Source organism: Homo sapiens, chromosome 3 (genome assembly GCF_000001405.40).
Source record: "Homo sapiens chromosome 3, GRCh38.p14 Primary Assembly".
Lineage (NCBI taxonomy): Eukaryota > Metazoa > Chordata > Mammalia > Primates > Hominidae > Homo > Homo sapiens.
Window position 1 is genome coordinate 159,777,728 of NC_000003.12, and position 27,327 is coordinate 159,805,054.

Below are 27,327 nucleotides of genomic sequence, written 5' to 3' on the forward strand. Positions count from 1 at the left end.
CCAAGGTGTGGTGGTGAGTCTTTATAAAACTTCTTGTTATACAGAATCTAATGAAACTTCAATATTGCTCAGTCATATTGAGACTTTATTTAATTTTAGCTGTCGTACATAATACAGTGGAGGACCTGTTGAAAATATAAAGGTTGGGACTCTTTTTTCCTCTTTGGAACTATTGGCTCTAAGTACAAAGTTAACATAGATTCCAAATAAACTAAACAATTTTAGGAGGTTTATTCACTTTTATTTAGAAAAACAGGAAACATTTTTTTTTTTTTGAGATAGAGTCTCGCTCTGTCACCCAGGCTGGAGTGCAGTGGCGTGATCTTGGCTCACTGCACCCGCCTCCCGGGTTCAGGCCACTCTCCTAACTCAGCCTCCTGAGTAGCTGGGACTACAGGCGCCCGCCAGCGCGCCTGCCAGCACGCCCAGCTAATTTTTTGTATTTTTAGTAGAGACGGGGTTTCACCATGTTAGCCAGGATGGTCTCTATCTCCTGACCTCATGATCCACCTGCCTCGGCCTCCCAAAGTGCTGGGATTACAGGCGTGAGCCACCGCGCCCGGCTAGGAAACATTTTTTATATTAGTTTTTTTTTAAAAAACTTATTTTGGAATAATTTTAGATTTGCAAATAAATTACAAAGATAGTACACAGAGTTCTCAAATATCCTTCAGCAGCTTCCCCTTATGTTAATATCTTATATGTCTAGGATACATTTTTCAAGCTATTCATTTTTCAAGAAATGAACATTTACCCAATACTATCACCTAACCTACAAACTTTATTGAGATTTATATTGGCCTTTGAAATTAAAAAGGGTATACTAAAACTATTCGACAACTGTAATAAGTAATATATCCTCACAGGCTGTGACTTGAGGAGGGAGGGGAGAGTTAGGTTCCTCCACATTCTACACTGCCCCTCCATAAAGCCATCCCAAACAGGCATGAAATTTAAGTAAACATGGTGCTAATATATTTGCTATGTAAATGCTTTTGAAGACAAGTCTCTAGCCTCCTCTTCCAATCAGGTTGCCTTGCCTCTATCCCTCCTCGGTGGAACTCTGGTGCTGTCTCTGGAGAAGACAGATGGAGTGAAGGGGCAGATAAAGAGAGAAATATGTGCACACACGGCCTGTGGAGGGTGAATCTCCAGTGAGGGGGCTGTTTTGTGAGTTCTTAAGTGTAGAAATAAACTTGCCCACAGTCTGCTTTCCATCTGGGCTGTGGACAGCCACAAGTTCTCACTTGTTATTTGCTCTCTGATATCCAGATTTTTTATTGTTTTAAAGTAGGAAACAACTTTTCAGCTTGGTAGTTTACTTCTTTAAAGTTAAGTTTCTGGTGGAATTGTGAAGGCTCTATGAATGTCCAGTGGAAGTCCTGGGAGAGGGTACATTATAGGCAACTCACAGAGGTGTAAGCAACCTGTGGAACAAATGCCACTCAGGATGTGAAAGGACTGGGGTTAAGTCATGAGGAACAGATTAGAAATGGCATAGAAAAGGGTTTGGGACTCTTGCAGGAGTGGAAAAGGGAAGGGAGATTGGCACATCAGGATGTTCAATATTTGTTGACTGATTGAATGGTCAGAATTTCAAAAACTAAACCACTAATGGGCACCAGGCATAGTTTTGTTGCCAATAGAAGGATGTCCCCGGCCAGGTGCAGTGGCTCACGCCTGTAATCCCAGCACTTTGGGAGGCCTGAGTGGGCAGATCACCTTGAGGTCAGGAGTTGGAGACCAGCCTGGCCAACATGGTGAAACCCTGTCTCTACCAAAAAAAAAAAAAAAAGTTAGCTGGTCATGGTGGCACACACCTGTAATCCCAGCTATTTGAGAGGCTAAGGCAGGAGAATCACTTGAACTCAGGAGGCAGAGGTTGCAGTGAGCCAAGATCGCACCATGGCACTGCAGTCCATGAGACTCCATGGACTCCATCTCAAAAAAAAAAGAAGGATGTCCCCATGACTCAGTGAATTCTCATAGAGCATCTGGTTTTGCCAACAGGATCGGTAATTTCCTTTTGTTTAATTTTTTTTTAACTAATTATGTGTTCAATATATTGTGGATTGTGATAGCACTAACTCAACATTTCTTTCAGGAAAATTGTGTTTTCTGGACCACAGTAATTTGAATAGCTCCTTCAACTTAGATATTCTCTTGAAGTTCATTACATGCTGTGCTGGAGGATGGGACATATTGGAAATACCCTCCTCTATATTCTTAGGTTCTTCCTCCTATGATGGATGTTCATGGGTTTTGGTACCCAGCATGAGTTACCCTTCCTAAGAGCTCCCAGCTTCCGTTTGGGGGACTACCTCTTCCGCGTCATGTGTGATTTTGGTGGAAGAGTAATTACAAGTAGCTGACTCATGTTCTGGGAACTTCAGCTCCAGTTCCTTCTCCTCCCCTGGCTCTGCTGCAGGTAGAAGAGCTCCCGGGAAATTTATGTCTAGAGCATTTGCAGCAAGGTCCTCAGGGACAGTCGGAGGCCCTCGCAGTGTTGACTGCTGCCAAACCCATGCTATGAAGGGACCATGGCTGTGACTTCTGCTTCCTGACCTTGTTTCTACTTGTTTCCAAAGTGCTGCTCCAGTGTCTGCCTCCTGTTGATTCTGTGGGTTTGTTAGCCAGCATTGGTTTTAATTGCTTGCAAGTCGGGAACCCTAATTAATAACAGTGGGCAGTCTCTTGACTTAGGACTCAAGTTCAAACCATGACAGTTGAAGACCCAGTATTAATAAATACATTTCTCTTGCCCAATCATTAAATATCGAAGGTGTAATGGACCTTAAAGCTCATCTGGCCCAAACCCCTATACTTTCCTCCAGTGGTGAGGAAATAAACACACCAAGTGAAAGAGATGTTCAAAGTGTCATAAATGTAACATGCCAAGTTGGCATCCTACATAGAGACATCAGGGTTCATTCGTCTCGGCATCTTGTCCACACACCCTCACCGTACTCCTTTACCTCTGTGACCCATAGTGTCCACTTAATGGGATGGGATGACAGGGCAGAACCTAGGGTGGCACCAGTGACCTTGGAAAGGGTCACAGCTAACTAGCCCCCATAGGGATTCGACCTGTGACTCTGGTGGTGTTAATACCAAGATTCAGACACTGAGCTGAAATGTCAGCGTCTAGCTGCATCCACAGGTGTGCCTGTGTGCTCTGATGCCAGCTCAGATGCGTCCACTTGATGAGGCTGAGACTGTGCATGAGGAGGTGGTTATCAGCAGCTCCAGGAATCAGATCATCATCTCCTTATGATTATTGGGATAAAAACAACTAGTTTTACAGCATAAATTTTATATTTTTAATGTGAATTAAAGATTGCTTTCTAACCATTCCTTATCTTATAGAAACTGTTTTTGTGAGTTCTAAGTGTAGCATGTCTCTGAGTTCTGTGGGGGTAAATGTTCTGAATCCATTTTGGAGCAAGAGTTATTTATTTATTTATTGAGACAGAGTTTTGCTCTTGTTGCCCAGGCTGGAGTGCAATGGCATGATCTCGGCTCACTGCAACCTCCACCTCTTAGGTTCAAGCGATTCACCTGCCTCGGCCTCTCAAGTAGCTGGGATTACAGGTGCACACCACCACGCCCAGCTAGTTTTTGTATTTTTAGTAGAGATGGGGTTTCACTATGTTGGCCAGGCTGGTCTCGAACTCCTGATCTCAGGTGATCCATACACCTTGGCCTCCTAAAGTGCTGGGATTATAGGTGTGAGCCACCATGCCCAGCCAATAAGTTATATTTTTAAATTGCTTATGTGAAGCTTTTCAGCAAAGCATAGCACACAAAATGATGTCTGCCAAGAATTTTCTTAATATATGCCATTATTTTTTCTTCATAACTTTACTCAATGAGTGAATATTGATTGAATGCCCACTATGTGTTAGGTATGGAGTACAGAGAGGAGTGGAAGTTGACAGGGAGCTGTCATGTCATGGAGCTTGTGGTCACACAGGGAAGAGTGACAGAAATCACATCAACACACATGGGTGCATCCCAGGAGGGTGACAATGGTGCAAGAAGTGGACAGACACACACTAAACCTGACCTAAGGAGTCACTTGTCATCCCTTCCCAGGACAGGGCTTCTCTGTGGCACAGGACCAGTAGCCTTCATACCCTTGCCACTAAAAATCTAGAAAACAGCCAGAAATTATTTTAAAAAGCAAGCATGTTCACATTGTGTGGTAATTAATAATAATAGCTATTATGTATTGAATTTATATGTAGAATAGGACTGTGGTTCTCTGAGGTTACGGGCAGTCTTGCTGTGATGGGCATGACTTGGGAGCCCTTGCCACCAGGTGGCAACACACCTGGAGAGCTCTCCTCCCTGAAGTCCTGAAATCACATCCAGCAATAGCTTCATCTGCGGCAGCATGTCCAGCAAAGAGACTCTCACTGAAAGACCAAAAAGGGAGACAAGGTTGGGTAGGAGGAAGCTGAGGGTGCTCAAGCTATGGCAGAGTGCTGGGCCACCTACTTTTCATTAGATGCCCATACTGGGGCAGGTGAATACTATTCATCCCATTTTATAGACAGGGAAACTGAAGCTTATGGTGGAATCACAGAGAGAGTGCGTGTGCTTTCCACTTTCAGTTATAAACTACTATACCAAATAGCTGGAAGTTAGCCTCTGTAACCTTCATTACACAATAACACAATAGCTGTTTCTCTTTGCTAATAGCTAGAGCCACATCTGAATATCTGTTATCTCTTGGTATGTAATACCCTCTTATGTCTATGTACTTCTATATAAGATTTTTTCATAAATGGAAACTTTTTTTTAATTTGCAAAAAAAATCATTCAAACATAAATGCATGGCTTTATGCCTTTCTTTCTGCCTTGAATGTTCCCACCACCACTCTGTGCTTACTTGTAATTATCAAATCCATGCAATCTTAAGTCTCAGTTAGAAACTCATTCTATATATTGGCTGGAAGTGATTGTAATGATCCTCAGGTTTAGCAGAGGCTCTGAGAGGTTAAAGGATGATTCAATGTGCGCTGCTCTCTTGACATCTGATATCAAGCTAGCTGCTCCTTGTAAATTGATTTATATGTAGAATATGACTATAGATCCCTAAGGTTACAGGCAGCCTTGCTGTGATGGGCATGACTTGGGAGCCCTTGCCACCTCAACACACCCAGAGAGCTCTCCTCCCAGAAGTCCTGAAATCACATCTAGCGATAGCTTCATCTGCGGCAGCATGTCCAGCAAAGAGACTGTCACCGAAGGACCAGGAAGGGAGACAAGGTTGGGAAGGGGGAAGTTGAGGGTACACAAGCTACAGGGAAATCCACTACCTTCTGCAATGTTTTTACCCATTCATTTACTTATTCACTTAATAGTCATTTATTTGCTCAGTAGCTGCACTCTGCTAGATACTTGGGAGTCAACCTAGCTAGGATTTTTTCCCAAGTGGTCTATTTATTTTGTTGAGGGAGAGGCACATCAAACAAACACCAAGGTTGGTTATTTAACATCCAAGATAAGTGATTCAGTTGACTTTGGAGACTGACTTGGCCAGCTGCCGAGGCAGAGACAGTGCTGAGGGATTGACAGCTGAATGGAGACCTGAAGAGCTTCTGGGAGCCAGGTGAAAGGGATGGCAAGAGCTGCCCAGCCCCAGGCAAGAGGGAGTTTGGAAAGTTTCATGGAAACTGCACCAGGAGCATCCTCACCAAAATCACTCCCTTACCTCACAAACACATCCCAGGCATCTGAGTCTGCACTTCATTTGTGGAACTTTCCACCAGTCCTAAAAGCCATCTTGCGCACAATAAAATAATCTTGCAATTTTCCTGTAGTTGATTTGAAATATTTTTATGCTGCAAGGAGTTTAATAACAGGCACAATGCTTGAAATGTCACTTCTTATACTTGGAGAACTGGAGTGGAGTGGAGAATGGAGCCTTTTAGGGAAGTACGTGGGAAGAAGCTGTTTAAATCCAGTAATGAATTAGTGTTAAACTTCTAAGGCTCCAGGAACTTCTTGAGTATTTTGGTTTAAAGTAGTTGGCATATTTGAGGGTTTTTCTCCCAGGTCTACTGGAAGCTGTGAGCTGGGAATATAGTAAAACAGAGGTCCCAGCCTTTTTCCTGATGAGTTATTTGTGATTTACCTGAAGCTTTAGGCGCACTAACCCAAGATGAAGTAAAGGCGTTGTAATGCCAGGTGCCAACAGAAAGTCAGGTATTCTCATGCCAGCCACATGAGCACTCCACCCCGGGGCTTCTTTCTAAAACCCTTCTGTGCTTTGCAGGCAGGTCCAAGGAGGTTAGAGAAACCCCTGCAGTCCCCCTTCCATCCCATATGTGATGATTGGATTGGGGAGTCTTGGTTAGGAGCAAAGGATAATTACCGTGTCAGAGCACGACCAATGAATTGTAACAAGCTGAGGTAAAGTTTAATTTCCTCTTCCACCTACCGCAATGAAAAGCTGTTGAATGTCAAATATGGTTTGCACCTTTGAAGTGAAAATGTTTTCTGCCACATGTCATCCCGTTGAGCAAGTCTACACCTGTTCATCTGGTCATGGGTTAGCAGAAAGAATGAAAGAGAGAAACTCTGTGCCTTTGAGCGAAGACATTTTTCAGTACTTATTACTCTGTTTCACTTTCCAGCTTTCACCTTCTCTGCAGTTTTTCTTTCATCTTGACACTATAAGGAATGCATGAGCCTTCCCTATGGAACATTGTAGATCTTGTTTAAATGGTAAAAACATCTCCAGCTCAGCTGACCAGTTCATTAGAATAGCTATGTGCTACACAAGAAACATGAAATATTTTGTCAGGTAGGAATCTAAGGAATCCTGGTGACGTGGGCTTTCCCGTCAGTCGTTTGCTCTTTTCCCTTAACTTAAGCCTTGTGCTGCTTTAGTTATCCTGTAGAATAAATGGAAAAGTAAATGGTTTTATTTTATTTTGGAGACGGAGTCTTGTGACGCCCAGGCTGGAGTGCAGTGGTGCCATCTCAGCTCACTGCAACCTCTGCCTCCCAGGTTCAAGCAATTCTCCTGCCCCAGCCTCCTGAGTAGCTGAGACTACAGACGCGTGCCACCATGCCCAGCTGATTTTTGTATTTTTAGTAGAGACAGGGTTTCACCATATTGGCCAGGCTGGTCTCGAGCTCCTGACCTCAAGTGATCCACCTGCCTCTGCCCCCAAAGTGCTAGGATTATAGGCGTGAGCCACTGCGCCTGGCCCAAGTAAATGGTTTTAAATCACGGTGCTAGGTCTGAGGAAATTATTTACAAAGCTCTATCAAAAAACAAAACTGTGGAATCTTTTAAATTAAGTAACAGTCAAAAAGCCAATGTGAATTTTTTTCCTTGGTATGGCTGCTTTGCTTCATAGCTCAGAGACTGAACCAGAGCTAGAGGTTATGAACTAGACGAGGATTTCATACATTTTTTTCTCCAGCCACTTTTCTCCGTTAGTAAATAAACAAATGAATAAAATAAAAAGGTTGCAGGGTGAACCCAAAATTCTGTAATACTGTTAAAAAATCATGATTAAGTATTATTCATTTTATACACCTACCAATGGCAATGCACTTAAAATGCCATATCAGAACAGTTGTGCAACATCTCAATTTGATAGTTTTTCTAAGAAGCATAACCAAGCTTCCATAAATGTAGTGAAAGCTTTTTTCATATTAAAGACATGTTATCGGGAGATGGAATGTTTCCTTCTTCCTACATAACTGAACAGTGATTAAATATTGACTAAGAGCCAGGAGTTGACAGCCATTGGCCTCACCCTGGTAAATGCTGATATATGATGCTGAATGTAAATACAGAGCCATCCTCTCAGGGCCATAGTTTTGTTGGTTTTTTTTTTTTTTTTCTGTTGGGAGATGGGGAGCCAGCAAGTTGTAGCTTATGCTTGAGGTGTCAGATTCAAGTGTTGCAATAGAAGTGTGTAATTTGAAACAAGTAATTCTTTAAAAAGCCACCCAACTGTCAAAAGAAAAATATATTTTTCTAATCAATCTGAATAATAAACAGAATGCTAGTTAGAAGTTTTAGCAAAACATCCAGGGTACCCACTGAATGCTGCTGTTTGTAGAAACAAAAGAGCTATCCATCACTGGGGCAGCTTATACTTTCATAGACAACGATTGTTTGGTTTATATGAAACAAACTGGTCGAAACATCAGATTTATTTTGGGGACATGAATATATGTTTGGGAAATTTTAAAACATCTTATTTTTGTTGTATGTGTATTTTCTTTTTTGTTGTTTTAAACATCTATTTAAAATATGCAGTTGATATTTTCCCTCCCTCTATGGGGAAAATCAAAGATAATAATTTTTATTACATTTCTTTCTGTTAATAAGGTTCATTATAAGATCTTATTATTTTTATCCCAAGATTTTTAAACCCTGCAGGAAATACCTGGAAGACTTACTCAACAGCTGTTTGTAGTGCCATGAAGCAAAATCTGTTAATTCTTTATTGGTTAGAATGATTTAAACATAGGTCTCCTTTTCAGCAAATATAGCAATCTAAAAAGTCTGCTTTTTTTTCCAGCAAGTTTTAATAGACATTTCCTAACCTCTAAATCATCTATGATACCCTTATTGTGATGGTCATCTGGACATCAACATTGCTATCTTCAAAGTATAATGAAATTAAAAGATACTTTTAAAGATTATTATAGTTCTCAAATTATTCAAATTGAGCCAAAATGGATTCATATGGATTTGAGTTGTTATTAATTCCTATTAGAGGTATTGGCATATGTCTGTTCAAAAACATTAATGCTTCTTAAATATCAATGACTATTCTTCCTTGAAATGTACTGAGAAATGGATTTCGTGCTGCTGAAACTGAAATGAGAAGGAATGGTCATAAATCATAGTTTAGTTTCGCACCTTTAGTCAGATAAGCAGTGAAGTGACTCTGAGTCAAAGCGTGTGTGTGTGTGTGTGTGTGTGTGTGTGTCTGCGCGTGTGCACTGTGTGTGTGTGTGTGTGTGTTTTGTGGTGTGATTGTGGTCTGTGTGTAGTGGAGGGATGGTTAATAGAAATGAAGCATCACAGCTGGACCAGCCACAGCACGTAGAATCCTTCCCTGGGGCCTCAGTTTACAAGACAAATAATTTAGAGTAACCCCTTCCCCCTTTAAAAAGCCGAATATTTTTGTAAAAATTAAAGTGAGCACTGAAGACAGTTTTGAAGACAAAGAAGAACTCACAGTAAGCGAGTCTGAGTAGGTGCGTGACTGGCCAGCTTTGGTATTGACTGGCAAGGAGAAGACTTGTTGAGGGTTGACTTTGGGTCTGATTAGATACCAGGGATTTGACCTATGTAATCTTATTTTTGTCCTCTCAACAAACTTTGTACCCCTTTTTAGTAAAAAGATGAGAACATTAAAACCTAGGAAGATTTAGTAACTTCCACATAGCTGGTAAGTGGTTGAGTTAGAATTCCAACTCCCAGGTGACTTAATTTAAAATTGACTTCAAAGTAGCTCCCATATGGACTGAATATAGGATACGAGCCTCTGCCTAGCCTTCAGTCCTTTTTGTTTGGTTTAGGTGTTGGTTGTCTTTGTAAACACTGGAAGCTGCTGAGTCATCTCCCTCGGCTTTTTCCATCACACTTTACCCCACATACATTCATACACACTTGGCTCAAGCTTTTCGGTTCTTTCTCTGGACACTAGATGACTGTCAGCCTTACCTGGGCCCTGCCCCAGAGGCTGCCCCAGCATCTGGTAGGAGCTTAGTGAGCGGAATGGATTCCTAGTGAAATAATGAATGTCTTTCCTTGTATTCTGTGTTTGAAACCTCCAGGATAGCAATTCCATCTGCTATATGAAATAAGAAAAAGTAAATATTCTTTGGTTAACCTTTGTCATTCGCCTACTTAAACCTCAATCACATTTCTTTGAAATCATGCCAGATTTGTGGAGAGCAAATTGCCAGGTAAATGGAGGGCAAATTCACCAAACTAATTCTTAGTTTTTTCCTTCTCTAAGGGAAGGAACACTTTGCAGCTTAACAGCATTTTCAAAGTTTCAAACAGGACTGGCTACTGAGTTGAAGAAGCATTAGTTGGCCCTTAAGTCCTCCCCTCTGGCCACTGTTGTCCACTTCACACATTTGGACCAACTTCCCTCATCTGAGCCTGAATCCTATTAGCCAGCACTGAAAATCTGGCATGGTTTCAAAGAAATGTGATTGAGGTTTATGTAGGGGAATGATGAAGGTTAACCAAGGAATGTTTACTTTTTCTGATTTCATATAGCAGATGGAATTGCTATCCTAGAGGTTTCAAAATAATCTTATCGAGATGACTTTTGACCCGTCTTCAATAGCATTACAACAATCCCCGCAGCCTGGAGACTAAGCTCTGCTGCTGTTTTGAGTGAGCTGGCCCCACAGAGGGTGTGACGTGGGAGTAGAGATGAGTGTCGGCCTCAAAGTCTGCTCCCATCTCTCAGGAAAGCACCTTCTTTAGATTAAGGTATTGGGGCTGACACTAAAATAGATGATATTTGAGGCTAAGTTTTCAATTTCACTCTTTCCAGAAAAACAAAGTACTGATAGGGATCTACTCTAAAAGCTGGTTTTAAATACAAGGCGTTACAGAAGTGCCAAATGCAGTCACTGCACTTAAAATCATGGCCTGTGGATAGAAACAAAGCTGAAGAGTGGCCTGCCGAGTGTAGAGCGTTCTTTCACTTGTAAGAAATTAAATACAGAGACACTCAACACAATTCCTGGATGTGATTTCCTGTTGGTTCATCTACACACTCTAGAAGATTCCTGAGGAGAGGTTTATTGCCCAAAGGAATTCAGTGGAGGTATTTTCAGGTTTGGCTGATTTCCAAGAGCCCCCTCTCAGGGCCAAATTATCCAATTCCCTTTCTTGGTGAGTTCACCACACTTCATTCATTCACCAAAAATATGCATGGAGAGCCTAACTACTACATACTAGGCACTGAGCATACAGTGCTAAAAATAAAAAAAGATAAAATCCTAGTCCTAATGTAGGATACATGCATTAAACATATGAACATATGAACCCTGTATTTGTCAGGGTTCTTCAGAGAAACATAACCAATAGGGTATAATATATATATAATTCACCTTACATATATATAAAATTGAGCATCTGTAATTAAAAAATCTGAAATCTAAAATGCTCCAAAATTCTAAACTTTTTGAGGGCTGACATGATGCTTATAGGAAATGCTGTGGAATATTTCAGATTTTCAGATTAGGGATGCCTCACCAGTAAGCATAATGCAAATATTCCAAAATCCAACAAAATCCAACATTTGAGACACTTCTAGTCCCAAGCATTTCAGATAAGAGATACTCAACCTGTATATGTGTATGTATACAGGTTGTGTGTGTGTATCTATATATACAGAGAGAGAGAGAGAGATTGATTTTAAAGAACTGGTTCATGCAGTTTCGAGGGCTGGCAAGTCCAGGCCAGCAGGCTGGAAATTCCTTCAAAAGTTAATGTTGCAATCTTGAGTCTAAAGGCTGTCTGGAGGCAGAATTTCGTCCTTTTCAGGGGACCTCTCTTTTCTCTTAATGTCATCAACTGATTGGATGAGACCGGCCCACTTTATGGAGAGTAATCTGTTTTACTTAGAATTGACTGATTTAAATGTTAATCACATCGAAAGCACACCTTCACAGCAACATCTCACCTGGCATTGACAAACAACTGTGCACCATGGCCTAGCCAAGTTGACACAAAATTAACCATAATCCCCCACCTCCAAATAACTGTCATTTCAATTTAGTGGCTCTCAAACTTGAGCAGGAATCAGAATCCCCTGGAACACTTGTTTGAAACACAATTGCTGGGCTCCACACTCCTGATTCAGGAGGTCTAGGGTTGGGCCCCAAAATTTGTATTTCAAACAAGTCCCGGGTAACGCTGATTCTGCTGGTCCAGGGATCATACTTTGAGAATGATAAGATTACATAATTCAGGGTCTGACCCTTAGCCTCGTGGCCCAGAAACTGATTTTGTTATCATAAGAAAGATAATTTTATTTATCAGGGATGTACCCAGTAAACCATGATTCCAAACCTGATGTGTAAAATAGCAATGCCAATTTATTGATTTATGATAAGCACTAAAACTACGGTGGTGAGCAGAACAATCCTGTCAGCCTGGGAGGGGCAGTCCATCCTGTGGGCAGCTCCACTGAAAGGTGAGCAGTCAGTAATTGGAAGGAACTGGGGATCCCAGCCAATGATCCAAAACAGGTGATTTAATTGCTGCAACCGCTCCCACCGCCAGAAGGGTCATATTCTCAGTTCCTGCCCAAGGCCCCCCTCTACCTGGACTTTATACTTGGATTAAGACAGGGGCAACTTTGGAGGAATGGATGTTTTCAGTTGAAAGCTTTGGTATTTACTGGGCTGAAAGAGTGCTCCTCTCTGCTCCTCAGACTCTACTCAGCAGCTGGGCTCAAAGTTCATAGAAATTGGAAATGCTTTTAGTGAATCATTAAAATGTTACCTTTTACAGAAACTTTTTATTGGATATAACTTATACTGTTTTTATGAAAGAGGAACTTGAGCAGCATTAGAATGTGTTAATGTATGTCCTTCATATGCTCGGTTTCCTTTCTTGGTAATAATTTGAGTGAAGTTACAATCTTTCTGTAAAAGACTATTTCCAGCTGGGTGCAGTGGCTCACGCCTGTAATCCCAGCGCTTTGAAAGGCGGGCGGATCACTTGAGGTCAGGAGTTCCAGAACAGCCTGGCCAATATGGTGAAACCCCATCTCTACTAAAAATACAAAAATTTAGCTGGCCATGGTGGTATGTACCTGTAGTCCCAGCGACTTGGGAGGCTGGGGCAGGAGAAACACTTGAACCCAGGAGGTGGAGGTTGCAGTGAGCCGAGATTGAGCCCCTGCACTCCAGCCTGGGTGACAGAGCGAGATTGTCTCAAAAAGAAAACAAAAAGGCTATTTCCATCTTTCTCTGCACATTGAGAGGACCTGACTTTGAAAAAATACTTATACATTTCATATTTTCAAAATTTTTCATGTCCACTTAGAAGCATTTTTTTCCCCTAAGCTTTGGCTTTCTGCCTTTATCATTGCTATTTTAAGATTTTTACATGAAAAATGGGATTTGTTTCTTAATCCTTTAAACCAAATTGTGTTGTGAAAAAGTTGTGTTTATGTTATTTATTTTAATATTCTTTTTTTAGAATCCTGCAATTATCCTCAGCATGGAAAGTTTGGCCCTAAAACCGCTTCTGAGAAATCAGAATGTGGCCTGAGTCTGGGCGGACCCCTCACACCTTGCCTGCCTTGGACTTCTTATGAAACACAATTGAATAGATAACCTAAGGCAAGGGGATAAGGTGGCCCTGGAACTTCCTCAAAGGAATAGGGACCTCAGCGCAGATAAGTAGATTCAACCACTCAGTGCAGGGAGGTGCAGTCTCACGTTTAACCTCTCAGTTTCATTGTCATATCAGCCCAGGGGCCCATCAGCAAATAGAAACCATTCTAAGAATTTCAGGGAGCAGATTTAATGCAAGGAATCAGTTAAACAAGTGAAAAAAAACACAGAAAGAGCAAAATGTGGAAACCAAGGTAACACAGAGACTAGTAACGGCAAGAAGCAGCCACCACTCCTGGGACCAAGACAACAAAAGGGAAGAGGCGATGTTACCAGAACCTTCCCGGCAGGTGCCTGCTGTGGCTCAGGCATAGCCCTCAGGGAGGGGAGACAGAGTCCTGCTTGGGGCATCTGGCAACCTCAGTCAAGTCACAGCAGGGGTGCCCAAGGGCCAGCTTTCTGCAGCTGCTGGAGGGGTGTCCTACAGGAGTTGGGCCCTCCTCTTGCTGGCCATTCCCCCATGCCTCCCATTGGCAAGATCTAGCAGGGAGCCAGGTGAGAAAGGAGCCTGGGAAACATCCTTCACACAGTCTTAGCATCAGAGCAGAAGCCCGTGGCTTCCTTTGCTTTCCCTCTTCCTTGTTGGCCTTTATTATCAGTTGTATTCACTTATCTGACTATAAAACAGGGTAATATTAGTGAGAGAGGAATCTGTTACTGATAAAGAACAAGGAAAGGAATCCATTAATCCCTTTTGATTATCATACAGATTATTCCCCAGTGATTATTAGAAAATACTTTTATCTTAATGAGGAAAAATCTCAATTTATTTTTAAAATCCTGGAAAATGGAATGCCGGGTAATATTCTTATTTAACTTTTGACATTTTTTAAAAAGTCATGTTCTATTTGGGGTATGAACGTGTGTGCCCATAATAATTATTTTCATCTGTGTGTGTCTATCTTGGGCCTAGAAAAAAAATGACTCATTTTCTTCTAAAGATTAGAATTCCATGGGCATCTCTTTTTGGTACAATTCCTTTGTTTGTTCATTCCTGGAGATAATGGAGTTGGTACTGATAGTGCCCTCCTTGTATTGTATTCAGCTCAGTTCAATGAGTCTTTATTAGGGGGCCTGTCAAGTGCCAGGCTGTGCCTCAAAGGTATGGAGGCAGAGGAGACTCAGGCGGTGTGGAAGAGCATGGCTTGGGGCATAGGACAGACTTGGCTTTGAATTCCAGTTCTACCGCCTAAGAGTCTCACCCTGTGGAGCTCAGTTGCTTCATCCTGGATGTGAGGATGAACACTGGTACTGCAAGGCTGTTAAAGAATTGTATGTGGTAAAGCACTTGACAATTGTCTGGAACATAATAAAGGCTTCATAAATGGTAACATGTTGTTATTATTTTGATAATCATCTATGGTTTGGGTACAGACTTTTTAGTCATTGTAAAATTTAATAGTAGAGTTTTTGTTTGCTTAGATATCTGTATTTCATTCACACAATTAGTTGGCATTTTAGTTGTTTATTAGTTTTTAGTCATTGGCCTAGAAGGAAATGGCTACAGTTCCCTTGCTCATCTCTAGTAAGGATTTGAAGTGGCTGGATTGTCATTTATAAGGTTTTAACAAGAGAATTTTTAAAAATTCAAATGCTTTAACCATTTTTCAGGCCTTTGGTTTTCATATTTACTTACAAGTTGATAGTTTGTTTATTGGAATGGAGATTTTATTTGGGGTTGGGTGTAGAGATGTGTTCTGTTCTAGTGGCTAGAGTACTGAATTAAAATTTTAGAAAGAATTTGGATGTAATTTTTAACTGAATCAGGAATTTGTTCATAGCCTTAAGCAACCTGTTTTATTCTCTCTGCTTGTTTTCATTGTGTGTTTGCCATCTCCTTGACTCACAATGGTCTTATAAGAGTTAATGAAAATGTTTGCAACCAGTGTATTTTTATCTTGGATGACAAGAGCTGTGTACAAACTGTAACTTACCCTACTTTTGTTAATATGCGACAGGATTCTTAGCCCTCGCCATGTATCATAATCCTTGAGTGCGTTTAACATGTTCAGACCCAAGAAATCGCATCCCCCACCATAAGATTCTGATTTATTTAGGACCCTAGCATTAGTGTGTGTACTCTTGTGTGTGCACTGTCTCTGTCTCTCTCTGTCTCTCTGTCTCTCTCAGCTTCCTAGGTAGTTTTAACATGCAATCAGGATTGAAAACCACTGGCGTAAAGGATAAAGCCAATCTTTGTGCTTGGTTCTTTCTCTTATATTGTGTCTGTTGGCCATTTTCTTGCCTATTGGATATAGGCAGATGTATTAGCTATATATTGTCCCATTAACAAATTACCACAAACTTGGCGGGTTAAAACAATACATATTTATTATTTTATACTTCTGAAGGCCAGAAGTCTGAAATGGTCTTACAGGGCTAAAATCAGGTTGTTGGCAAGGCTGATTCCTTCTGGAGGCTCTAGGGGAGAGTCTGAGTCTCACTCTGTCGCCCAGGCTTGAGTGCAGTGGTGTCATCTCGTCTCACTGCAACTTCTGCCTCCCGGGTTCAAGTGATTCTCGTGCCTCAGCCTCCCAAGTAGCTGGGATTACAGGCGTGTGCCACCAAGCCTGGCTAATTTTTGTATTTTTACTAGAGATGGGGTTTCACCATGTTGCCCAGGCTGGTCTCAAACTCCTGGCCTCAAGTCATCCACTTGCCTCAGTATCTCAAAGTTCTGGGATTACAAGCGTGAGCCACTGTGCCCGACCTGTTTTCTTGCCTTTTCCAATTTCTGGAGGCTGCTTGCATTGCTTGGGTCATGGCCCCACTTCACTCTGACTTCTGCTTCTGTCATCCTGTTTCCTCTATGACTCTCCTTCCTCTCTCTTATGAGGACCCATGTAACTACATTCGGCCCACCCGGGTAATTCAGGATAGTCTCCCCATAGCAAGGTCTTTAACGTCATCACATCTATGGAGTCCCTTTTGCCATGTGAAGTAGCATATTCACAGGTTCTGGGGATCAGAACATAAACATATGGGAGGATGGGGGGTCATTATTCTGCCTACCAGAGCAAGAATAAAATTCAAATCCATACTTTTTCTCATTTGAGTACAGAAACCTCTGAGTCAGCCACAGCTTCCCTCCTCTACAGTTTCTGATGGGTAAGAGAGGAAGATTTTGTAAAGTCTCTTAAGTGATAATACCATGTTCAGAATTTTAATTTTATGATTTCTTTAAAAGGCTGCCAATTTTTAGATTTTCAGGTGCTTTAATAGCTTGTTTCAGAAGTGGATTGCATAACAGTTGGGTCTCATTGTGCTGAAATGGTGCATTGCTGAAGTCTCCCTCAGGTAGAGAACTTTTCTGCTACTAATGCAGTGATTCTCAACAGGGAGTAGGTGTGGCTTATTCTTGAATTTTTTCTTCCAGCAAGAATTTTGTGTGTTAGACCCCCCTACATACAAAAAGACTAGATTCCGGACCTCAAGGTCAAGGCCAAAGAACTCACCTCTAGTGGTCAGTATACTTGTATTTCAACATAATTGGTTTTCTTTGTAATCCTGTTTTTTACTATATGCATGTAAGATATCATTCTGAGAAGGGGTCCACAGGCTTCCCCAGAGTGCCAAAGGGGCCCTCCATGGCACAAAAATGATTAGGAGCTCCTAGGAGAGGCCAAAAAATAGTATTGTAATAAAATGGTAGGTCTCACCACAAAGATGACCTTCAGATGCAAGAAGCTGCCCAAGGGAGGGGAAAGGCTCCTGGCAGTGGTTTCCAACTCTAGCTACTTGTTGGGATGATGGGTGGAGGCGGGGTGATGTCCTCTTAAAAAGCATGAGCATCTGGGACCCACTCCTAGAGATTCTGATTTGATTGGCCTGGGGACTCTGACCTCTATCACAGAAGAAGTGTCGCGTTTGGTAGATGTGAGGTAGAATGGGAAGACCTAAGAAAGCAGGACAGAAATCAGGGACTCAGTAAAGGAGCGGTGAACTGTACTATAGAGCTGCGATATAGATGTGGTTAATAAGTCCCTTAGCCCTCCCTGTTTCTGCTCCAATTCTTCTGCTAAACACGGTCTGCTAAAGACTCTCCGTGACCTTAGAGCAGGATAGAACCAAACTTAGACATTTGGCAGCGCAACTAACCTTCCCTAGCCAGCCTATTTCCTAGTAGGGAAGATAGGTCTCCAGTGGTTAAGAATGTGGGCATGAGCCAGACTGCTTCAAGGCTAATCCCAGCTCTTCCACTCACTAGCTATGTGATCTTTGGAAATTTACTTAATCTCTCTGCCTCAGTTTCCTCACTAGTAATAGTACTTCCCAGGATAGTACCAACAGGTGAATGGGATAGGTACTTCTGTTGGCTCAATTTCCAGATGAGACTTACAGATGCTAAGTAACTTGCCCAAGACATCACGGCCAGTAAGGGGTCAGAGCTGGGACTGGAAACTATACCTCTGATACCCAGACAGGGGTTCCTGACATGCAAAGAGTCCCTGGACTGAGTAATAAATGTGGTAAAACTATGCTATAGACACAGTGGTGGTCCAAAGAAAGTGTTCACTTCATTTGGGTAGGTTAGAGGAGGAGAATCTTGAGCTGGGTCCTGAAAAATAATTAGAAATTTGCCAGGAGGATGTGGAAGGAGATATTCCAGGCAGAGGGAACAACGTGTGTAAAATTATGGAGACAAGGAAGAGCAGTTTGCTCTGGGGACCATATGGCCATGGAGTAGGATGTGTTGACGGAAGCCAATAGTAAGAGGGAGGCTGTGGAGCAATGTTTCTCCAGGGTTTTGCTGCATCAGATATATATTAGTAGCATTTGATGTGCAGATTCTGGGCCTCTCCCCAGGCATAATGAATCAAAATCACTGAGGTTAGAGTTTGGCAAACTGCATTTTAAAGGAAGCAAGCCATATGAATGTGTAAGAACTAAGATTAGGTGAACCACAGACAAGGATGGAGGCAAAAAGTAGATCATAGCAGGCCTTATGTATGCTAAGGTGCTTGGATTTGGGCAGAGCCACTGCAGGTCAGATAGATCACTGGACACAGTGTAGAAGATGGAATGAAAGAGGTTTGTTGGGGAGTGGTGTCTGATGGTGGTGAGAATGCATTCTAGTGGGGAGATACTAGTTTTAAGAAAAGGTACTCCCGAACTAAGACAAGTTGGGGGCAGTAGAAGAGAGAACAGCAGAAATACAAGCCATATAAAGCACGTTGAATCATCAGAAGCTAGGGGGAGAGGGAAGGGGGAAGCATTGAGGAATCGGAGGAGTGTTGGTTGTTGGGCTGGCACAAAGTGACTGCTTGGAACTCAGTGAGTCTTTGATGTGCTGCTTGCAAGGGAGACCTGCCAGGGAGGAGTGATCATGCACCCAGCCTTCCCAGATTTCCCAGAGGAAAGCAGCGATGTAAAATGTGAACATAGCGTGACTGGAGCAATGACATCTGCAGGTGACAGGGAGAAAGCCATCTGCTTAGCTACAGCCCCCCTCTCCTGACACTTTTTAGTTCATGATCATGATGGTAAAAAAATTTGGAGTTTTGATTTGGGGCATAAGATGCAATGCAAAGAATTGAGAACCATTGTCTTACAGCAAAGTACTGACCTATTAAATATTTGGGGGTGACAGAAAGACCTGACATTGACCATGGGGAAGTGAAGTAATAATCACCCTTGGAGAGTATCAAGGCAAAAGTCATGAAAGGGAGGTAAAACTAAAACCATATACTCTGTATGACAGGAAGGGAAATGACTGAAATTTTCTGGACAAGCACCACAGTGTCTTTCTTCCCGATGATGTCATTTGGTTAGAACAAGGACTTAACCAGCTACTGAATTATTACAGTTTTCCATGACTAACTGACTTTTTCTGTTATGTTTGGTCTTAAGCTTTCTGTTGCCCAGGAGATCCACATCTACATGTTCAACCTCAAACCCTTCACAATTATTTTTTACATAAAGGACTGTGTTTTTTGTTTGTTTTGTTTTGTAAAATCCTCTAGATTAATAGGAGGCAACAGTACCACTCATTTCTAAAGCATACTATTTATAAGTTGGTAAGGTTGTTGCATGCTTTTGAACTTGAATATTTATTTTGTCCCTCTTGGAAACAGTATCTAGCACATCACTGTAAAACTTGATTTTATTGAATGCCCTTTAGTTTCTCTTAGGTTAAAATGTGGAGCTTATACAGTCACTTGTAATTTCCTCAGTCTTACCTTCAGATTCTTCCTCTAAAGGATTTTTCTTTCTTCCTTTCCATTTTTACTTTAAAATGAATTAAGCATGATACCAACTTCATGCAGTTTCTTATTGTGAAGAACACATTGGTAAGATTGAAATGTTATTAGTCTAATTCTGTGCTATATTTTGAAATAAAATCTTCTGGAACAAATGTAAATCTAATGATTAGAAAATGTCACTTACATTTCTCAAAAAACAAACTTACAAGCAAGCAAATTTAAAGATCTTTTTTTTTTTTTTGAGACAGTGTCTTGCTCTGTTGCCCAGGCTGGAGTGCAGTGGCACGATCTTGGCTCACTGCAAGCTCTGCCTCCCAGGTTCACACCATTCCCCTGCCTCAGCCTCCCAAGTAGCTGGGACTACAGGTGCCTGCCACTACACTCAGCTAATTTTTTTGTATTTTTAGTAGAGATGGGGTAAGATCTTTAGTTTTTATTTGCAATTCTAGAATTAGGCAACACCTCATTCTATGGAACAGAATGAGTATTCCAATAAGCTGAGCAGAGGAAGTTGACTTTATAGAGAGGAAAGGGTGGAGGAAAGCAGGAAGAGGCAGCAGAAAATTGATTGTTTGTTTCAGTTACTTTCTTTGCAAAGGTTAAAGCAGAGGGGGCTTCCTTATGCCAGCTAAAACTGGCCTGTTTGGTAATTTGGCTGTTATGTTTCTCTGCTGGTTTCTTGAAAGGTCAGATGAACAACTTAGTTTCAACTTGGTGGCATGGAACTTCAGCATGAATAACTCTATTTTGGTTTTGGTCTGTTGGGTCTAATACAGGAGCTCAGTTCAAACCAATGGCCTCCTATAAATTTTATATAACAATTAGTATTACACAAACTGGAAAGCTGGCTTTGCGGAATAAGAGCAGGTTTTGGAAATAGCTGGACTGGATCTTAATCTTTTCTGTTTCTGCTAGCCATGTGACCTTGAGCAAATTACTTGACATCTCTGTGCCTTAATTTTGACATCTGTAAAATGGGAGTATTAATACTACTTAATTTCACAGGCTTTTTAGGAGGTTTAAATGGCAATGTGTGTACCTGGCTCAAAATTACTGTTAGTTATTTTTCCTTATCTTTTTCTTCTTCATTATCATGATTTACTTTGTTTTCATAACAGCCAAACAAGGCCAGGCGCAGTGGTTCACGCCCGTAATCCCAGCATTTTGGAAGGCAGAAGCGGGGGGATCACTTGAGGTCAGGAGTTCGAGACCAGCCTGGCCAACATGGTGAAACCCTGTCTCTACTAAAAATGCAAAAATTAGTTGGGCGTGGTGGTGCACACCTGTAATCCCAGCTACTCGGGAGCCTGAGGCACGAGAATCGCTTCAACCCAGGAGGCGGAGGTTGCAGTGAGCCGATATCATGCCATTGCACTCCAGACTAGGCAACAGAGTGAGACTCTGTCTCAAAAAACAAAAACAAAACAACAACAACAACAACCAAAAAAAACAGCCAAACAAGGCTTATTTTTCCAGAGGCTTGCTACAGTTTTCTATGCCTAGTTGGCTCTGAACACATTACTAAATCTGAGCTTTTAAATTAGAATAATCATGAGTTAAAACAAAGTGAATTTAAAATTCTTTCCTTATTTCTTGAACTTTTGCTTTTAATGATAGTTGCAAAGCTCCTGGAATTTTCCACCAAGTTATCTTCCACTTGGGGCCTCATGTATGCAAATGAGAGGAGTTGGGTAATGAAGAGGGAGAGGGAGACACTGAACAGGGCAATTATTTGACCTACATTCCTTTACTCTGGTGTTCAAGAGGCTTTATTCATATTTGTGTGTGCAGTCCTTTGTAACTGTTTGCAAATTTCGTCTCCTCAGACATTCTTTCTTCCTGAGGTAATAGATGTGCACACCACTGGGGCACTCAGACACAGGTATGCTGTCTTGGCTTCTCTGTTAGAAAGGAAAGGCTAAGGCCACTACGCAGCACAGTGAAAAGAAGCAGACTTCAGGGTCCCCAGACTTGCATTTGAATCTTAACCCTGGGCAAATTACTTCACCTCGCTGAGCATCAACTTCTCTCTCATCTGTGAAATAATGAAGTAGAGGATTACAAAGAGGATGGCACTGAACCTGGCACACAAAATATATGTTTATCCAATAAAAGTCTCCTTGCTGCCTTCTTGAGGAGTGCCAGGGATACGGGTGACCGGGGATACAGGTGTCTTGTCACAAGACGGACAAGCCTGCTGGCCAACTGACAGACAATCCAACAGGTTTAAGTGTGATAATAAGGGAATATGTGTAAGTGTGATAATAAGGGAATATGTGGTAGTGGTGAGAACGTATGGAAGACTTAAGCTGAGACCTGATGAGTGAGTTAGGAGCTTGCCATACAGTCTGGTGGGAGTGCAAGAGAGAGCCTGGCACACAGAAGTTTCGTAAGGCTGCCTAGGACAGGAGGGATGGGTTGGGGCCAGATTAAAAGGGCCTTCTCAGCCTCATTTTAAAATTTGGACTTTATCCTAAGAATAGTGAGAAACTTATTGCAGCATTTTAAGTGGAGAAGTGATGCAACAGATTTGGATTCTAGAAAGATAACTTAAGGTAGATATTAGATTTGAGGGGTAGCTACACCATTGCCTGGGGTCTAGTTCAGTTGGGACCCCCAGTTGAAGTCCTCCAGATGAGAGATGATGGAGGACTGATCTTGGAAGGCTTCCAGGAAGAAGAAAGTAGTGCTTTCATTCATTCACTTATTCCCCACATATTAATTGAGTATCTATTATGTGCCATGCACTAACTTCAAAGGGTATGGTAGTGAACAAAACAAAGCCCCTACCTCAGTGGAGCTACATTCAACATAAAACACAGATGAGTCTATGAGTAAATGAATGTAAACAAAACACAGATAACACTCTGATTTTATGACCAAGTTGATACCCACCTCCCTGAACCCACCTTTAGAAGGAGAAGTCGAGTGTAATTGAGCAGTTATTACTCAGGCCCACCTCTCCAATGCGCAGAGATCTCTGGGGATATCTCTTACCAGGATAATGTCACACCTGCTCCAGCAGCCCTTTTTGGGGCTGCCCCCTCCCTCACTAACAAGTACTAGAAGGGAACCAATTCAAAGCCAGGGTCGGAAACTCAGACACTTAAAGGGGCAGAATATTGTTATGAGCTTTATGGTACACAGATGGTATCTGGAGCAAGAACGTGAACTTTGCATCAAGACCATTGGGTCTGAGGAACAGTGACCTCAATAGTAATTGCTGCTCTGTGGCTGCATGACAGTGATTCTCCACATGGGGCCTTTACTGACTGGTGGCCCGTGAAGGTCCTAGTGACATAAGGAAAAGCTAACCATGCCAGATCTTTCTTTTGTTGTTAAGGGCCCATGACCTGCAGTTTCCCTAACATTCATTTTTATACAGGGCAGAGGTATGTGTGCGAGCTCAGATACCTTAAATTCATATGCCTTTAATACAATCCAGGCAGATTTCTAAATGAGGGATGCTTCCCCACAAATGGAGAGTGAAAGTGGGCCAGCCTAAAAGGACCTCCATAGCACTGTGCATGGCCAGCTGTTTGTGGCTGTACCAAAAATGCAGGTCATAGGATTTTTATGTGAAAATTTCTATATTTAAATGTTGGCAACTAAGTCTGTTTTTTTTTTTTTTTAATATGCAGTTTTTAATCATCTGTGGGCTGGATTCTTCCTTTATCTTTTCCAAGGCTGCCTTGTAAAAACGTCCACTGCTGGCATCTGCTTTTCTTCCTTTTCACTCCCCAGTCCTGGGTCCTTTAGTCTCTCATTATATCAAATACGAGTGACTCAAATTTAGCCAAAATTTTCTTGAATTTATGGAAAAGCTATATACAAAAGTAAGTTTCTGTATACAAGTATTTTATATCAGGAAGAATTTTCAGTTGGGGATGGTAACAGTTACTGTAAGTAAGATATGGTTATAAATGTTGTTTCTCTAAGGGGAGAAATTTCTGATGTCTAGTCAATTTACAAACCTGTGTTCTAGAACATAAACATTTGTTTGTAAGTAAAAGAAAGAAAGTACATGCAGATGCATTAAATCCATACTTACACCCAGTATATATGAGTACATAATATACTTTTCTTGGGAATTATCAGATACTTTTTCCTGAATCAAATGATGAAGACTATTTAAAGTAGAAAAGAGAGAAAACCAGTCTATTCTGCATGGACATTTTGTTATCACTTTTATGGTAAGCAGTTCCATAAGTGTGTGCCTCTGTTTTGGCATAATAAAATTTTACATTACTTCTTAAATTAAGTACAAGTTTTGAAAAGGAAAAAAAATTAACCTCCTGTTATAATCAAAATCTTTCACTTTCTAAAAATCAGAGTATCTTCTTTTAAAGGGAGTTATTTATTCAATAAAAATTCTATATTTCTATATACCTTACAATTTTTTAAAATTCTGGTACACACAGTATCCTTATAATCACTTTTTCTTTCTATTTATATCCTTAAAAACATCTGCACGAGGTAGGAAAAAAACTCAGATTTTAATGAAATCATAAAAACAAAAGAACTTGATGCAGCCCACAGCACCTGCTAACCATACAATGTGTTTACAGTTGTTATTGCTACAATTAATAATATCACTATTGTCATTATAAGTGTGATTGACAGTTGAAGAAACTAAGTCTTAAGGAAGTTAAGGCCACCATGGTTATAAAATTAGTCAATTTTAGAGACTAAACCTTATTAAATCACAGGTCTATGGACTTAAAATCCATAACCTTTCATTTATACCAATAAAAAACAAAAGAACAAAGAGGGCCTTTTGTTATTGTAACACCTTTATGTGCTGGGTGCATTGTCCATATTAGCTTATTTATTTATTTTTATTTTTTGGCAGGTACTGTATGAGGTTTCATTTTATAGATAAAGAAACTGAAAAAGAGGTTAAGTCACTTACCAAGGTCACATTGCAAGTAAATGGCAAAGCCAAAAAAATGCTCCTATGTCTGAATGCCAAGGCTCCTGATCTCCTGGAGTGCATTGTATCTAATTGATAGTTGCAAGTAACCAGTATTTTACTTTTAATTGATAGCAGACATTTAAGAGGTGTGTGTCACTTGCAACTAGAGCAAATTTTCTTCATTTCATAAAATTGCCAGCTACAGTAGAAGAAAGCAGTCATCTTCAATAGATAGGGTTTTCTGTAAAATAAACAAAAGGGTTTTGTGCCTGATTTTAAAAAAAAGAATTCTATTTCTTTCCATGTCTGAGAGGTGACCTTTCTGATGTTATACTGTGGGTGGAATTCATTCTGGAGGTTGTGAGTGGGATTTTGGGAGTATGATGGGAATGACTGATGAATCCATACTCCATTTGTAAGTGGCTTGTCGTGATGATGAATAGAGAAAACATAAACAGTGGATATAGCAAAGTATCAGTTTGGATTAGGTTTAGGTGTAAGTGACAGAAAATCTAAAATGCTAGGACTTCAGAAAGGATAGTAGCTTATTTCTCATGCATGTAAAAGAAGTGTGGAGGTCAGGAGTCTTAAGGCAGGTTCAAGATGACTGAAGGTTTTTTCTTTTTTCAATCCTGCTCATCCTCAATACATGGCTTTCTGCCTCATGGTCCAAGTTGGCTCCTTAAAGACCTGCTATTGTGTTGTAATTGACTGTAGGAAGGAGAAAGGGAAGAAGAAGAACACATCTCCTTTCCTTTAAGGACACTTCCCAGAAGTCACACGTGACACCTCTGCTTAAATTCAGTTAGCCGGAATTTAGTCACATGGTTGTGACCTCACACACATGCTGCAAGAGAGGCTGGAGAATGTATTCTTATCCTAAGCATCCATATGCCCAGCTAAAAGGTGTGTATGTGTGTGTGTGTGTGTGTTGCAAAGGGCAGGGGGAGTTCTATCAATAAGGAAAAAGGAGAAAATATATTGGGGAAAGACTAATAAAGTATCCCATAGAAAGAATCAATGAAAACGAGTTAACCATGCAACATAGAAAGATTACTTCCATTCCAGCCTCTATTCCAGAATACCTACCAAGTCCTTTGCCTAGGATAGGAATTCTAGAACAGACGTGTGGGTGTAAGTCCTAAACTTTAACTCTGAGCACCTGTTTTTCAGTGAATGATAAAAATTGTTAGGAGCCCACATCTTTAAAAAGAAAGGCAAAGATAACCATATCCTTTATTTTTTTGAGCAGCTCCTTTGCACACTGCTTCACTACAAATAAGACCTACCTAAGGAATTAGATCATGCACTAAGTCCAAACCTGCAGTTACTTCAGAAGCTTGTGACTTCCATTAGAAAGTCTGAACTCTCTAACGTAGATACAGACCCTGCATGTGGGGGTTGAATTTCAAAGTTCTTGTGCTGCTTTCATTGGCATGCACCCAGGGAAGTGTATGTATACATTGGGAATGTTTAGGGACCTGGCTACTTCTCTGTTTTCTTCTGTCACAGCGTTCCTTCGTCCAGGGGAATACTGAAATAATAATTCTAGCAACAATTTTTTAAATGCCAAACCAATTACATGTATATTTCACTTAAGCTTCAGAGCAGCCTGAATGGTAGGCTTTATCCATTCCCATTTTACAGATTTAGAAGCTCAGAAACAAAGTCACACAACTAGTAAGGAGATGTGCCAAGATTTAAACTTAGATCTGTTGGACTCCCAAATCCATACCCTGCATCACGATGGCCTCACACCTTTGAAAAATAGTACAATGACCCTTTTGATGTTTCTTTTTTGTATAATGACCTAAGGAAAGCAGAGAGGTCAAGTCAACTTTCCCTGGTCCCTGCAGTTGTAATAGGGCTCCCTTCACCCTCTCAGTGATTCTTTACTGAGTTAGAGGTAAAACCCCACAATGAACTATAGGAAATCCCACTCTTTTAGAGCTCTGAGTATTTAGAGACTGATTTGGGCTGAGCAGGTGAGGGAGATTGGTAGCAGAGAGCTGGAACTGGAGGCCTGTTCTCTCTGTCAGTTCATTACTTTCAAAGGTCTGTTGCAGGGAGCCTCCTTGTCCTCCCAGTGTAAGGAAATATAATTGTGATCAATACATTTCCAAAAAATATATCTCCACTGCTAAGGACATGGTAAGGAAATGGAACAAATTAATAAAAAGGGCTTCTCAGCCAACTGGAAAAGAGGCAGGCCATGAGTATACAATGTCTTCCTCAGTTTTTCTTCCCCAGTTAAGCATTCTGGGTCCCCTCCCTCTCATTTATTTGCTGCTGTGATGTCTGCAGGGTAGGGTGAGCTGGCATAAAGTTTATTAAATAGTAGCTTGCAGATCACTTGCTACCACATTTTCCAAAGCTTGCCTTTGTCCCCTCGGTGTATACTTGAGATGCCTTCAGTCAGATGAAAATCATGGAAAACCAAACTAACCTGGCTTCACAGTGATGAGATTGGTTGGCTCCTGGTTAGGAAAGGCTTCAGAATGTGTTTGTTTCATTGGCCCAATGGGGCATCACCAGGAATGCTGTTATTTTTTTTCTTTAAACTTCTCTGCTCTGTTTTTTGCCGTCAGTTTCATTTACAGCTATCCTCCCACACCTTCCGGTTGCCAAATGATTTTCCTTTCCTTTGAGTTTATTCATCACTGTCTAGGGAGAGGGAGAAAAAGAAATGGTCACTTCCAAGAACTCTCTCAAAAGAGCCAGGAACTATTTTCCCAGTCATCCTCAGCAGATTTCTCCTCAATCTCATTGGCCCAAATAGGGTGTGGTGTT

General features: G+C 41.1%; 2 protein-coding genes and 1 long non-coding RNA gene across 32 annotated transcripts in view; 2 read left to right on the forward strand and 1 right to left on the reverse strand.

Annotated features, from left to right (window-relative positions):
- Positions 1 to 27,327, forward strand: part of IQCJ-SCHIP1 (IQCJ-SCHIP1 readthrough) — an 828,041-nt gene that overhangs the window by 708,409 nt on the left and 92,305 nt on the right. The gene's annotated exons all lie outside the window — the stretch shown is intronic.
- SCHIP1 (schwannomin interacting protein 1) overlaps positions 1 to 27,327 on the forward strand; it is a 624,116-nt gene that overhangs the window by 504,484 nt on the left and 92,305 nt on the right. The gene's annotated exons all lie outside the window — the stretch shown is intronic.
- Positions 21,374 to 27,327, reverse strand: part of LOC101928351 (uncharacterized) — a 28,725-nt gene continuing 22,771 nt past the window's right edge. For all 3 annotated transcript variants that reach the window (XR_007096144.1, XR_241608.4, XR_924643.3), the window contains 3 exons: positions 26,984 to 27,201; positions 24,535 to 24,778; positions 21,374 to 21,657 (listed from right to left, as the gene is read on the reverse strand). This is a non-coding gene — a long non-coding RNA (uncharacterized LOC101928351). The remainder of the gene's footprint in view (positions 21,658 to 24,534; positions 24,779 to 26,983; positions 27,202 to 27,327) is intronic.